This window comes from Homo sapiens, chromosome 12, assembly GCF_000001405.40.
Source record: "Homo sapiens chromosome 12, GRCh38.p14 Primary Assembly".
In the NCBI taxonomy this organism is placed as follows: domain Eukaryota; kingdom Metazoa; phylum Chordata; class Mammalia; order Primates; family Hominidae; genus Homo; species Homo sapiens.
In genome coordinates this window covers 4,905,237-4,919,498 of record NC_000012.12, presented here as the reverse complement: position 1 = coordinate 4,919,498, position 14,262 = coordinate 4,905,237, and the positions used below count along the sequence as shown (strand labels likewise).

The 14,262-nt window shown below is 46.9% G+C and overlaps 1 protein-coding gene across 1 annotated transcript, besides 3 other annotated features; it reads right to left on the bottom strand.

Annotated features, from left to right (window-relative positions):
- KCNA1 (potassium voltage-gated channel subfamily A member 1) lies at positions 1,243-9,594 on the bottom strand. The gene is made up of 2 exons (NM_000217.3): positions 9,027-9,594; positions 1,243-8,659 (listed from the first exon to the last, which is right to left on the bottom strand). Exon 2 carries the CDS (start codon positions 8,118-8,120, stop codon positions 6,633-6,635), a length of 1,488 nt encoding a protein of 495 aa, NP_000208.2. The 5' UTR covers positions 8,121-8,659; positions 9,027-9,594; the 3' UTR covers positions 1,243-6,632.
- Positions 8,073-8,212: a silencer, noted in NCBI's record as "silent region_4155". NCBI's record gives its function as "represses an Ori minimal core promoter by ATAC-STARR-seq in GM12878 lymphoblastoid cells {active_cell/tissue: GM12878}" and the evidence as "EXISTENCE:reporter gene assay evidence [ECO:0000049][PMID:35858748]".
- Positions 10,213-10,969: an enhancer, noted in NCBI's record as "H3K4me1 hESC enhancer chr12:5017696-5018452 (GRCh37/hg19 assembly coordinates)". NCBI's record gives its function as "activates a minimal SCP1, AML or CMV promoter by ChIP-STARR-seq in primed H9 embryonic stem cells {active_cell/tissue: H9 hESC(primed)}" and the evidence as "EXISTENCE:reporter gene assay evidence [ECO:0000049][PMID:30033119]".
- Positions 11,764-12,963: an enhancer, noted in NCBI's record as "BRD4-independent group 4 enhancer chr12:5015702-5016901 (GRCh37/hg19 assembly coordinates)". NCBI's record gives its function as "activates an origin of replication core promoter dependent on BRD2, P300/CBP, MED14 and CDK7 cofactors, and independent of BRD4, by STARR-seq in HCT116 cells {active_cell/tissue: HCT116}" and the evidence as "EXISTENCE:reporter gene assay evidence [ECO:0000049][PMID:35650434]".

The window sequence follows — 14,262 nt, the reverse complement described above, 5'->3', positions numbered from 1 at the left end:
AACACTCAAGCCTGGTCAGAATCCAGAAATCAGGACTGACTGCGGCAGGCAGCTTCCCACCCAGTGGCAGAGTAGCTGACTTCAGATCATATCTGCTCTCTGTTCTTCCCCTTTAAACTGACTTGACTTCTTTTTAAAGCTTTGTAAACAACAAAGCTCCCAGTTATAGCCCCATTCCTAGCAGCTACCTGGTTCTATCTGTTTCTGCTTTAAGAAGACCATTCTAAGGCTGAGCTTTGAGAAACATCCACTGCTGTTGGGGTGTCTTGGGCTGTCTCTTACCTTCTCTGTCAGAGCTTAGCCTGGCCTGTTTCCTGACCACAAGAGAAAAATCATGGGCAGCCTGCCCAGCTTTGTAGTCTACTTTCAGTGGTAACTTATACAGCAAAAGCAAGATTCATCTGCAAATCTTGTAACATGAACCTATCACAGCGCAATACTCTTCTACGATAATGCACCAACCACCCAGTGCATTTAGCATGTAACAGACCGCTGTCAAGAGCACCTCCCCCTGTTTGCTCTGACATAAAAGAATGTGTAGAAAATGTGATATTCACAAGGAGGAAAACAGAAGATCTAAATCTCAGGAAGAATCAAAAGGAAATGCAACAAGGAGTCATAAAAAAAAAAACAGAAAGAAAGAAATGTGAACATGTAGAACTACATGGAAAAAGCCTGTGTAAAGAATGGATAGGAGCCACGTTGTTTTTCCACATCAAAATCACTCCTAACACCACACTGCAACTATCAAGTCAGTTGATTCCAGACCACAACTCTGTTACACTCACACACACAGTCGTGTCTCTGTCTCTGTCTCCCTCTCTCTCTCTCACACACACACCCACAATTATTCTTCCTGCAAAGCTTCTCAGACTGTGCATAAAAACTAGTTTCAAATCAAAACAACTTAAGTGGATATAACCAATTACTTTGTTCCCCTGAGCCTCATTTCTTGTTTTATTTTGAAAGCTTGATCCTCCTTCCACTCTAACTTCCACAGGCCAAATTCCAGTGGTCTTCACTTGGGATCTTACCTGAGACCAAACTGAATTTATCCTCAAAAGGTAACCCCCGGATATGTCCTTGGACAGCAGAAACAGACCACGTGGGCCAAAGGAAACAAGTCTGTTTCATGATCTGATCTTGGATTCACCCCACTATTTAAAGAGACCCCACAGAAGAAGGGAAGAAAAGGGCCCCCAAAAGACCAGTTAAACAAGAGACAAATAACCAGTCAAGATATTCCTTGATAAGATCCTTAAAAAGTATCTTTAATTGATGCCAAATATGAACAGATCGTAAAGTGACAGAAGCAAGTAAAATTGCATAGATGAAAACTATGCGCATCAATTAGGTTCTCAATTCATAACATTCAATGTCCTTGACCTGACATATTACACAGTTAGAGAAGGGAGAATGCGCAGTAGGTGAAGATGAGACACGTCCTTAACTCAAGGTGGAAGCAACTGGCAAACTCAAGAAATAAAATAGCGTTTTTTCAGCTTAAATGGTTTGTTGTCCTGATGGTGCACTTTAAATTAATACTACTCAATTTTTATTTTTAACCTCAGTAATACTTTATCTTTACTATTAGAGGCATGTCACATGGAGTCCATGTTGTCTACTTACATCTGCTGCATAAACAGTCCCAAAACAGTGCGCTGAAGAGAAGAAAGGTGCTTCTGCAAGGTTTGGAGAGGAGACAACTTTGACCTGGAATATTTTACAAGAGATTTCTTGTTTTGTTTTGTTTTCTTTCCATACACCATTTCTTCTTCTTTGATTGTGGTACAAAAGTTTTCTATACTCTTTGAAGTTTCACGTCATAAAGAGTAAACTCCTAGTTAGCTCCTAAATGAAAATCACTGTGACTAGGGTTAATCTCCTTAAAGCGAAAAGCCCTGAGGTCAGCAGGGCCTCACCCCTTACATACATGCTGGACTTCCCAAGAAAGCCCAGGGTCATTTTGCCTGAGCAAAGAGGCTGGCATTTAATCCCAAGGCTTCTAAACTTTATATCTGTACCCTGAATTAGTTTGCACAGTGACCCAAGGTAATGGAACAGTTTTGGTTAACAATTCAGCTCCTGTTTGCTTCTTTACAAAAATGGTAAGTAACATACATTCTTTAAAGGTTTACCTGAGTCATACTAGACATGTTCACATATACCCTGAAATTCCATGATATAAATACAGGTAGTAATATGCCACATGGTGAATGAGAGTTCACCTCCTGAGATCACAATTCAACTTGGGTTGTGTCTGGTCTTAAAATTTTAGTTTGTTTGTCTTCTTAAAATGAACATAAACATCAAAAGACTTCATTCTTGCTTGGAAAAGCCTGAAGATAACATGCTTGTTTGGCAGTTTATATTCTTTCTAACAATTTTATACTATGGATGGTTACCACCCACCAATTCTCACCACCCCAGGAATAAGTCATTCCTGGAAGAAAATGGGAAAGTGCCTTCTGCTAATGTTCTTTCTCCTTTCTTTCAATCCAATCTACCAAACTAAGAATTAAAATGTAAAATTGTTAAAAAGCATGTGTTTTGAGGTCTCCTATATTAAATGAGAGGGCTAGGAAACTATTTTTATTGACTTTTAGATGGTACCTAATTTGAAAAACGTGTAACTATACACAATGTGAAGAAGGCCTTTTATAGGCTAAACCAAATTTCTACTTTAAAAAAATGTATTCCTCATTTACCATTTACATGTATTTTTTTAATTCTCAAGCAAATCAAGATTGTGACACCACCTGTGCTTCACGTCCACCATAGTGGAATCTAAACCTGCCCTACAATTCATTTCAGGGAAATGACTGCCCACTGGCCAGAATCCTGGAGAAGGACTTGCTATTGGTTTATCTGATTCTGCAAGGCTCACCCACGAACACACTCCCAATGAGCTGATATAACTGAAAATCAGAACTCAAGTCTCCAGGGAGTGCAAGGGGAGTTGGGCACAAATGGGAAAAGGGAGATGCAAAAACAGAAAGTTTTCCTGGCTAGAATTTGTCTTCTAGAAATCTGAGGACAGAGGAAATGAATGTCTTTGGTCTCTCTGATTCAGATCACTTCAGGTGAGTTAACCACTTCAGAGATTCTGGGATGGCTAACAGCCCTGGTGTGACCAACTCTTCTATTGCCACCCTATTGAACTAGGGCCCCAATAGACTGGAAGAGAGGAATTATAGCTATCAGCACATCAGAAGTCTTCTCCTTCTGGAGAAAACACATAGTCAGGACATGAGCTGTTACAGCTCCATGCCTAGGAAGGGGAAGAAAAGGTAAAAAGGCTGCTAAAATAAATATGAATAAGTAAACCAAAAAATAGTCATCCCTTAATAGGCAGTTTTGTTAAGTGCACCTTCAGGTCTACAAAGACATTTCAACACATTACAGTGCGAGGGTAAGAGCTTGGTCAAACATTGCATGCCTATGCTACACAGATAATCCCTGTACTCCATTCTTACTGAATTCATTGCAATGAGCTACAGATGAGCTAAGCAGCATTCACTTTCCTCACACCACCCCAAACTCATAACAACAACTCACCCCCAGTCCCAGACTGACAGGTTCACCGCATGCAGCACTTTTTTCTATATCACATGCAGAAGAATCAACCAGTCCAGAGTGTAACCACGGTAAATATACCAAATACCCAAAGTCAGTCTTGGTGCCGTTTTCTCATCCATTAACCCATCCATCCCACAGTACTGAGTGGATTATTGCTGTTGACAGAGTGCGGTGTTTCAAGTTCTGTGTGCACTAGACCTCAACGTTGAAATGAAAGATCAAGATAACCCCAAGCCTGGGAGGAGGTTGGCATTTTTTTCCTAATTGGGGATTTTTAAGCAAGTAGGAAAGGAATCGCCAGAATGAGTTAAGGTTCAGACGAGAAGGAGACATCACATGGGAGGGTTTAATGCCCTGTAGTCGGATGCTGCGCAGTTCTTGGCCCCTCATCTTCCACGATGTGTGTTGTGTTCATCTCACAGATTCACAAAAGTCACATAGGAAAATAAGATATCCATGTTCTTTCTTTTAATCGAGTTAGCCAGAATGGGTGTAACTCGAGTTTCTAGGGTGATTGCCTCACTGCTAGTTCTAGGACAGGATGGGGGAAAGGGGTGGGAGAAGCAGGACAGATTTTCAGAAGAAGCTGGGCCAGAATGTCAGGTAACAGGCAGCCACATGCTAAGTGCAGAATGAAGATTCCCCACCTCAGGGTCCTTTGAAAGGCTGTGAGTACCTCTCCACCGGTGGGCAGCTGCCGAGCTCCAGAGGCCTGTGTTCCGTGGCTCTCTTTCAGCCAGGAACAGGGTCCCCACCATTCTCTGGGCTGGGTAACGGGGGGGCAGCAGAAGTTAGATGTTCAACCTGTGAAGTGACTGCCAGGTGGGAAGATCATAGGGGCATCAGGAAATATCTGAAAGGGGTAGACCAGGAGGGAAGGCCTAGGAAAGGTTATTATGAACTGAGTGTTCCCACATCCACAACAATGCCTGAAAAGACTGGACCGTCAGAGAGATTTGCAAAGTGCTGTTACCGACAGAGAAAAAAATAAGGAAAGGTGCCAGGAGCACTACACTGGACCTGAGGAAGCCTTGTGTGTCCAAAGTGGCCCTCGATAGGAAACAAATTCCCAAAAAGTTTATCTTGGCTTTGGTGGAGAGAGGAAAAAACAAGTTCACAGTTCATGTCCAGTTCAAAGATGGGTCTCAGTTCACATCCAGCGTCAGGCTGTCAAAGGGACCAATGCTAGTAGATGGCCAGAGAGACAGCACCCTCCTGGGTCTCTCCTCTCCAGGGTTTAGGGTGGTGTGGTCTTCTCACAGTGGTGAAATGAGAGAGCGAGAATGGAAAAAGAAAAAGCAAAAGGTCTGTGCCCCAACCCTTCCCCACTTTTGCTACCTAACTTCTCAGCTGTGTTAAGGAGGCACTTTCTACAGTTCACTGTGGGTACAGGATAAAGGCACTAAGCAACTATTAAATCAATTGGTTTAGTTTCTTCAGGGAGCCTCAAGGGGAGGGCTGAAGTCTCTACAGACTTCAAAGAATGACTGCAAAGAAAAAAAAATCAGCTCTGCTTCGGATGCATATAATAGAGAAACATTTTCATTTACATCCTAAGAATGCACCAAAAAACATGCAGTATTGCACCTTTTTGTTTGTTTGTTTGTTTGCTTGTTTGTGTTGCTTGTGTTTGTCTTCAGCTAGAAAGAATACTTGTTCTTAGGTGTTGCTATATGTACTTTGATGACTTATTGAGTTTTTCACATGGCTTCCCTTTAAGGGATGGGCATATTGGTCCTCTCTCCGCCTATACCTGCACAAAAACCTGGTATTTCCCTGAGCAAAGGCAGGAAAATTGACTGAGTGCCCCCACCCCCACCCCCCATAATTTCTATTGGGCCTTTCACCCCACAGACTTGTAATTTTTATTACTTTTAAAATTTTTATTACTGAAATCATGCATTAATTAATTCAAGGTACATCTTAGTCAAATAGGCCATAATGCTGAATAAGAGAACATGCTTTGAGCTCCAAAAAGTTATTGTTCCCATCTGACTAACATATGCACTTAAATACAGTACTTTATTTACTAATAAAATAGTTAATAAATGGAGGAGTGCACTTTTGGTGAATGCAAATGAAAAAGGATCTATTTTTAGAAGAATCGATTTCAACTTAAGCTTATCCCCTATTGTCTGGGTTAACTTCTCAGCATGCGATTATAAAATAAATTGTATCAGATTCAAACATGCTTACATTTAACTTCATTTGTGCTCTCTTGCAATAAGGAGGCTAAGGTTTTACATCCAGTTCTGAAAGCCAGGGGTCGGAGTGCAGGCCTGGTGAGAAAAGACCTGTATTTGGCTCATCTGCAGTTGAGACCATTTAGCGGCACTGCAGAAGAATCAATTAATTTAATTCAGTTAACTTTTTCTTAGAGAATAATCTGGATTAGAAAGAGAATGGGCCCAGGGGGAAATCCCTACAGATCAGGACCAGTATCCAATTTATAAGGTGCTTTGTGAACCAGTCTTAAGTAATCGGAGTTTTCTTTTTTCACCTTGTAATATGCAGTTCAGTTGATCGAAATAAAAATATCTATTCATTGTCCATTTTGGCTGGTCTATCATGTTACATATAATACATCTGATGCACTGTCTTCAATGTGCTACGCAGTTTGCAAAGATGTTTTACTGGAGTCCCATGCGAATTTCAATTTCATATTTCTAAGTGATCATCTTGTTCTGAGTTTTTAAAAAAGTTAAAGAAACCAAAGCATTAAAAATGTTTCAGTTTGGGGAAGCATATGATTATTATTTTACCTAGACTAGTTCGTGGACTGAATCTTTTTAAGCCAGTTTTAGAAAATACTCTCTCTTTTCCCATTTTTTAATAAAAGGAAAATAGTTTATTTTGTCATGGATCTTGAAAGCTTCTGGTTCACCACCCCCAAAATCCTCAATGCAACAACGCATTGACAGTTAAATAGAGCATTCCAAGTCTACTTAGTAAAGTATCTACAAAGCGTGACATGAGTCACTAGGTTTTCTGTTTTGTTTTTTAAGTCTTTTGAGCTGCTAAGTGGGGCTTTTTTGTTTGCTTGCCTTTGTTTTTTAAACATCGGTCAGTAGCTTGCTCTTATTAACGCAGTTTTGGTTAGCAGTGGTGCAATTGGCAGTTCTGATATTGACCTGTCTATAATGGGCTATGCTATTATTCATATCCTCTTCGATCTCCATGTACTCAGACTTGCTCATAGTAGAGGAACTGCGGCGACTGAGGTCACTGTCAGAGGCTAAGTTAGGGGAACTGACGTGGAGCAACTGAGCCTGCTCTTCCCCCTCAGTTTCTCGGTGGTAGAAATAGTTGAAATTGGACACAATGACAGGTACGGGCAGGGCAATTGTTAGCACACCAGCGATGGCACACAAGGAGCCCACGATCTTGCCTCCAATTGTCACAGGGTACATGTCACCGTATCCTACAGTGGTCATGGACACCACCGCCCACCAGAAAGCATCGGGGATACTGGAGAAGTGCGACTCAGCTTCTTCCGCCTCGGCAAAGTACACTGCACTAGAAAACAGGATGACCCCGATGAAGAGGAAAAAGATGAGCAGCCCTAGCTCTCTCATACTAGCTTTGAGGGTCTGGCCCAGGATCTGGAGGCCCTTAGAGTGGCGGGAGAGCTTGAAGATTCTAAAAACCCTTACCAAGCGGATGACCCTGAGGATGGCCAGGGAGGTGGCCTGCTCGCCCTTCTGGTTTCCTTCCTGCTCAGCTATCTCGGTGCCCAGCGTGATGAAATAAGGAATGATGGCCACAATGTCTATGAAGTTCATGATGTTTTTGAAGAAGTCCGTCTTGCTGGGGCAGGCGAAGAAGCGCACCACCAGCTCGAAGGAGAACCAGATGATACACAGCGTTTCCACGATGAAGAAGGGGTCTGTGAAGATGTTGGAATTGTAGATGACCGTGGTGTTGTCGATGCGGTGGACGGTGCCCGTGAAGTCCTTGTCATCCTTCAGCTCGGGGAGCGTCTCCAGGCAAAAGATGACGATGGAGATGAGGATGACCATGACGGAGACGATGGCGATGACCCTGGCGGGCCCCGAGCTCTCGGGGTACTCGAAGAGCAGCCACACCTGGCGCTGGTACTCCTTCTCGGGCAGAGGGCGCTCCTCCTCCTTGATGAAGCCCTCGTCCTCCCGGAACTTCTCCATGGCCTCCTCGCCCAACTCGTAAAACTTGATCTCCTCGGAGAACATGTCCAGGGGCACGTTGACCGGCCTCCGCAGGCGGCCGCCGGACTGGTAGTAGTAGAGGATGGCGTCGAAGCTGGGCCGGTTGCGGTCGAAGAAGTACTCGTTCCTCAGGGGGTCGAAGTAGCGCATGCGTTTCTTAGGGTTGCCCAGCAGCGTGTTGGGGAACTGCGCCAGGGTCTTGAGCTGCGTCTCGAAGCGCAGCCCGGAGATGTTGATCACCACGCGCTCGCAGCACTCGTGGTCGTCGTGGTCGGCCTGCCGGGGGTAGCTGCCATCCTGGGGGTGGCCCGGGGCGGCCGAAGCCTCGTCCACGTTCTCCCCAGACATCACCGTCATGGTGGAAGCCGGGCGCGGGGGTGGGAGGCCAGGAGAGAGCCCGGGGTGGGAAGCAGCCAGGGACCAGGGGTGGGGGGGACCCAAGCGGCCCCCCCACCGGAGCGCGCGTCTCCCTCACGCCCAGGGGGAGGTGCTTCAACACGAGCAGGTCGGGAGATCTGCGACTTTGCCTCTCGCTGCCTTCCCCTCCACCCTGCCTTTCACTCAGTTTGGAATCCCCCTCGCCTGCGGGCCGGGTGCAGCTTTTTGCAGAGGGTTGGGTTTGGGTTTGGGGGTTTGTTGGTTTTCTGTTGTTGTTGTTTAGATATTTCTTCCTGATCCCAGGTGCCTTAACGCAGTGCCGTTCTAGCGGACTGGGCCATTGCTTCGGGGGTCGCCCTGGCCTCCCCTCCCCTCCGAGAGCCTTCCTAGGACCCGGTGCAGTGCCGGCTCGGCAGATCCCCACGCCTGCCACCCTCTCTGCTTCTCCTCGGCTCTCCCCCCTCCTACCCCTCTTCGCCTGCCGCCTTCTAAGCTCCCACCAGGGCGATCGATGCACGCTGCAGAGAAATAGAAAGTGATACGGGGGTAGAAAATCAGAAGCATTCAGATGGGACGGACCTACAGACACCGAAGAACACAGACCTCTAGCTTGAGAAAGCACTGGACGTTTGCTAGGGCTATCACACACACACGGACAGACGACACGCAGACACCCGGAAATCCAAGTTTGGGGCTCTTCCATCCCACTTTCCCCAATGCCCAACAGCCGATCTGTTTACAACTTCGTTAAACTAGAGATCGGAAAAGCGCCGAGAGACGCCGGGGGAAGCTCAGGGTCCCGGACAGCATCCCCGCACCCCCGGCCTCCCCCACCCGGTCCCCCCAACCCCCGCTTCTGCATCCCCGAGCTGGGGAACCCCCTACCTGGCCGGCTGGCTTGGCGCAGGGGCGGTGCTGAGTCAGCGGAGAGCCCGAGTGGGAATGCGGCAGGTCGTCTTTGCAGTGCCCTGGCGGGAGCCGCGGCGGCCGCCGCAGCAGCATCCGAGACGCGCCGGGCAAACTCGCCGCCCTGGTCCACTCGTCCGACGCCCCTCTCAGTTGGACAATCGCTTTACGGAGCAGCTACGGCGAAAATGTTCCTTCCCTACCCCCATTCTCACCGGTTGCCAGCAACCTGGAGACGCCGTCCTCTCTCCGGTGCAGGGAGTTCCGGAGGATGCGGGGCGGAAAAGCAAAATACCACCCTCTCTCGAAGCTCCGAGGCAAATGACGATAAACAGCACTCTCGCCCCCTCCTAACACTATGGGAGCCCTTGATTCGATCCCGAAGGAGGCGGGCGGGCGAGAGCCTGGATCTACATGGCTCTCCAGTTCCCTTCGCTCTCCGCACCCCAGCGCGGACCTCGCCAAGGCTACGCGGCGCGCCAGGAGCCCTTAGGAGCTTGGAGTGGAGCAGGGTGCGTGCGGCGGCGGGTCCGCTCGGTCCATTTCTGGGCGCTGCAAGATCAGCAGAAACCTGAGAAAGCGCCTGGAATACCGAGCAGCGATTGGCCCACCCGGGCGTGGGTTGGGGAGGGCGGGGGAGGGCAGGAGCGAGGAGGTGGATGGAAAATATGAGGGGGTGGTTTGGAAGAGAGCGGGGTTGTCATTCAGTTCCCACCCTTGCCAGCACAGCTTTTTCCTCTCCTACCAGAAAAGCCGACCGCTAACTCTACTTCCCCTGTGGCCCGCCGCCCCGCCCACGAACGGCCCCTAGCGGCTCGCGACCTTCCCCGGGAATTTCACATTGGAAATGGTCAGGTCCGACGCAATGCAGGCGGTGGTGTTTCTGGCAAAACTCCTCCGACGGGTTTGCTTTTGTGCAGTCCCACAGTAACCCTCTTCGATCGCACTGCTCTGCGCCCCATCCCGCTCCTCCCCCAAGAAGGCCCTTGCTCTCTGCGGGGCCCACCCAGCTTCCCCCGCCGGCTGGACTCGCAGAGCTGCAGACTTTGGGCAGAGCTGTGCAGATGAGGATCCCTGGGTTTGTTCCATGTAGTTTTACTGGGCGGCGGCGGTACTAAGAGCCTGTCCCTCTTTAACCTACGATGGGACTTGAAGTTTTCTTACGATCCGATTATTCTGAAATACAGGGAATGTGACTTGTGGGGGACCGAAGGCTTCGTGGGTTTGTGGGGTTGTCTGCCAACTTGGTGCTAATTGGGAATAATCTGAGAAGCAAGTCGCCTACTCACCTCCCACCCTATGTCCCTCCTCCCGCAGCCTTTTTCCCCAGCCTAGTGCCTCCACAGGGCCACTTTCAAAGCTTGCAATTTATTTGGAAAGGGTCCCCCGCAGAGGCGCATGGCAGCAGGAGCCGGGGGCGTGTGCCTTGCCCTGCGAGTGCGGCTGGAGCTGCGCCCCCAGAGGCGCTGCATCTCCGCGCCTGCAGCGCGAGAAAAGGCAGCAGGCAGCTTGGTACCTCCAGGGCTGCGGAGTCTCTAAGGAGGCTGCAAGAGCCCAGAGTCGCCGCTGATTGGCTCCTCCCGCGGCCTTGGGACCACCCTTCTCACCACCGTTGCCTCCCGCCTACACCACCCACCTCCTTAATCAAAGCCAATGATTGCATCCTTCCCGCTCTATTGTGGCTAGTGGAAAGCAGGGGCCCCTGCGGGATTGCCCAGGCAGTGCAACAGTCCCTGTCTGGAACTAGTTAAATCCTTCCTCCAGATTCAGACGCCAGCATTCCTTTCAGAAAAACAAAAGTGTATGTTCCCTCCCCTCCTTCAGATCCGTACCCCAGCTTTTCTTTCATGAACAATGAGTTCTCTTATACTCCTCCTTCCCATATTAAACTCTTCCCCTTTCCCACCTTCCACACGCATATCCCTCAATCTCAATAGCTCCAGGGATCCCTACCTTTCTGCACTGCTGTTCTAATGCAAATAAATATATTTTTTAAAAAAATTTAAAAATAAAAACAAAGATATAAATATGAAGCTCCCAGCTGAAGTACTGCCAAGTCTTTTGGTTTTGTTGCTGCTGCCACTGCTAGAACCCTACTGGGGATAACCCTACGAGACAAGGGTTTTCTGACCATATCCTAGCACTACTGAGCTTCCCTATTCTCCACTTTATCTGTCCTTATCTTGTACCTCCCTCTTCCTATAACCCATTGCCTTCCTTTAAATGTCCCTAAGACTGTCATCTTCCTAGCTTCTTGTGAATGCATGTGCCCTGACTCAGCATTAGGAGATTGCCTTACTACAAGGGATTCACAGATTGGATGAGATCCCAGGTTCCTAAATTCCGGGTTTTATTGGGGGGCATATTAGGAAATCTTCCACATCTCTGATAGATGTGTTTACAGCAGGACTGGACCTCCAAGGGACTGGAAGAAAATTGTGAGCTGGGAACTCAGCATTCTCCTCCTCCTCCTCCTTCTTCCTCTTCCTCTTCTTCCTCTTGTTCTTCTTTGAGACAGAGTGTAGTAGTGTAATCATAGCTCACCGCAACCTTGAAGTATTGGGCTCAAACAATCCTCCCACCTTAGCCTCTGGAGTAACTGGGAGGACAACAGGCACAAGCCATCACTCCTGGCTAACTGGAACTCAGCATTCTTGATGGAAGTCCTCCCTTGGTAAGGGTCTGAAGATATTTATTAATTCAACAAATATTTGCCCAGCCCCAGCTATGGGCCAGATGGTGCCCTTGCACTGGAATGGAGACATATAAGGTCCCAGGTCTCATGGAGCTCATATTCTGGTGGGAGATACAGACAATAAACATATACGTCATACATTATAGTGTTAGATAAAGAAAATTAAGAATCAGGCACAGCAAGTGACAAATATAGGTTTGCAGATAAGAAGGGCCTCTCTGCAGAAGTAACATTTGAACAAAAAACATCAAGAAGAGAGAGCAAGGAACAGGAAGATGAAAGGATGGGTGTAAGAGCAAAGGTCCCAAGGCAAGGACAGACTCAGCATATTCAGGAAACAAGAGAGCCAGTATGGCCAGAAAGAAGTCACTGAGAAAGAATGTCATCAAAGGTAGGTCAGAAAGGCAGGCAGAGCCCAGATCATGCAGGGCCTCTAAGGCTATGGTAAGAATAGTTCATTTCATTCTGAGTACAATGGGAACCTACTGGAGGATATGCATCAATATAGCAATATGATTTGCATTTCTTGGAGATTATTCTGGCTACTAGAAACAAGACACAAGGTTGGAGGTTACTAAGTAGCATAAGCAATGTTGGCTTAGATGAGGGAGACTGTGGTGAGCTTGTAAGGAGTTTTTGGAAGAGAATTACATTTTGAAATAGAGATGGCAGAATTTGGGATGTGAGGAAAGAAAAGTTTTAGGACTGTCTCCTAGGCTTGTGGCCTTAATAACCAGATAAATGGTAATATCATTTACTGCAGGAGTGTCCCAAACAGTTTCGCTCCTACCTAGATGTGAGTTCCTTGAAGTCTGAGATCTTCTGTGTCTTCTGAGATCTTCTGTGTTGGGCAGCTTAGGAGCTCCTTGAAGTCTGAGACCTTGTGTGTCTTAGTTGTCACTGTATTGGGCAGCGTAGGCCATCTCCTCAGATTCTCTCCAGCTCACCATTGTCTTGTCCAATGGCCACTTGCCCCACTGCAGGTGCTGCTGGAAAAGTCAACTCGATGGGTGGCAGAGTTCTGCCTCTTGAAGTTGACAGCACTGCAAGGAGTGGAATCTGGATTCCTCAAGACTGCAAAAAGGCCTAGGTGAGTAACACAAACCTAGGGGTGCATTAGCTCAATGGACCAAGAGGAGCTTGCCCAGTGGGAGATGCAAGCTAGGATGGAGCTCGTCGGTAAATCCCCTCTACCTTTATTATTTTCATGGCCAAGCAACCACATGGTCTAATGAAAAGGCTGTGTCTCTTTGTGACTCATGAAGCAGTAACTAGTTTGGTAACTCTTCTCCTTGGATCTGCACCCTGTCCTTCCCTGTCTCACTCTCCTTTTCTCTTCCTCTCATGGTTCTGGCTTCACACCTCCCATTAAAGCATTCGCACATAATCCTGTCTTGGGTTATGCTTTCTAGGGAAGCTGAGCTGAGGCATGGGGAATCACAACTTTGGTTTGGGACATGTTACCTTTGAGATACCTAGAAATATGCAAATGAGGATGTTGAGTAGAAAGTTAAACATACAAGGTTAGAGTTCAGAGAAGAGGTCTGGGTAGATCAAGGTTTCTCAACTTTAGCACATTTGGGCTGAATACTTTTTATTGTTGTGGGGTGTGGTCCTGTGGATTTTAGTATATTCAGCAGCTTCCCTTGCTTCCAGCCATTAGATGCCAGTAGCACCTTCCCCTAGTTGTGACAACCAAAAGTGTTTCCAGACAATGCAAAAATCACCCTCAGCTGAGAACCACTTGGGTAATTAAAGCCAGAGTAGCAGATTACAGAGATTACAGCACTTGAACCTGAGGGTAGAAAAGGAAGAGGAAATATGCAGAGATCATGCCTTGGGACGCTCTAATGCTGAGAGGTCGATAAAAGAAGGAAGAGCCACCAAAGGAAACTGAGAAGGAGTGATGATGAGGTGAACAAAACAGGAGAATGTGGGGTCTGCAAAACCAAATGAGAACAGTATGTTAAGAAGAAGGGAGATATCAACATTGTTGCTTACTGCCAGTAAGATGAGTAGAATGAGGAACATAGAAATGACTATCAGATTTAGAAAAATTGAGTTGAAAAGAGATTGAGAGAGAACTGAGGACAGTAGGTAAAAACAGCTCTTGGAGTTTTGGTGCCCAGGGGAACAGAAGAATGGGGTAGTAGACTGAAGGAAGATGATGAGTGATGAGACTTTTTTTAAAAAAATGATGAAATCTATTACAATATGTTTGTATGCTAAGGGCAATGACTCAGTAGAAAGAAAAGAAATAGTGATGTGGTAGAAAGAGAAAAATCAGAGCAATGTTCTTGAGAAAGCAAAAGGAGAATGGAATCTAAGACCCAAAATAAGGGATTGGCCTTGGAAAAGGGCAATTTCTCTATAGAAATGGGAGAGAGACAGAGAGCAGAAGTCAGCTGCAAGTAATTGAGTAGAAGTTGTGGGAGTTAGTGGACATTCACCTATGCAATCAGAAGAAATTTTCTCAGTAAAAAGGAAAGCAAGGTCATCAGCTGAAAGTGAGGATGGGGA

Excerpts from the sequence above, each read along its gene's own strand:
- KCNA1 (NM_000217.3), bottom strand. The coding sequence starts at position 8,120 with ATGACGGTGATGTCTGGGGAGAACGTGGACGAGGCTTCGGCCGCCCCG.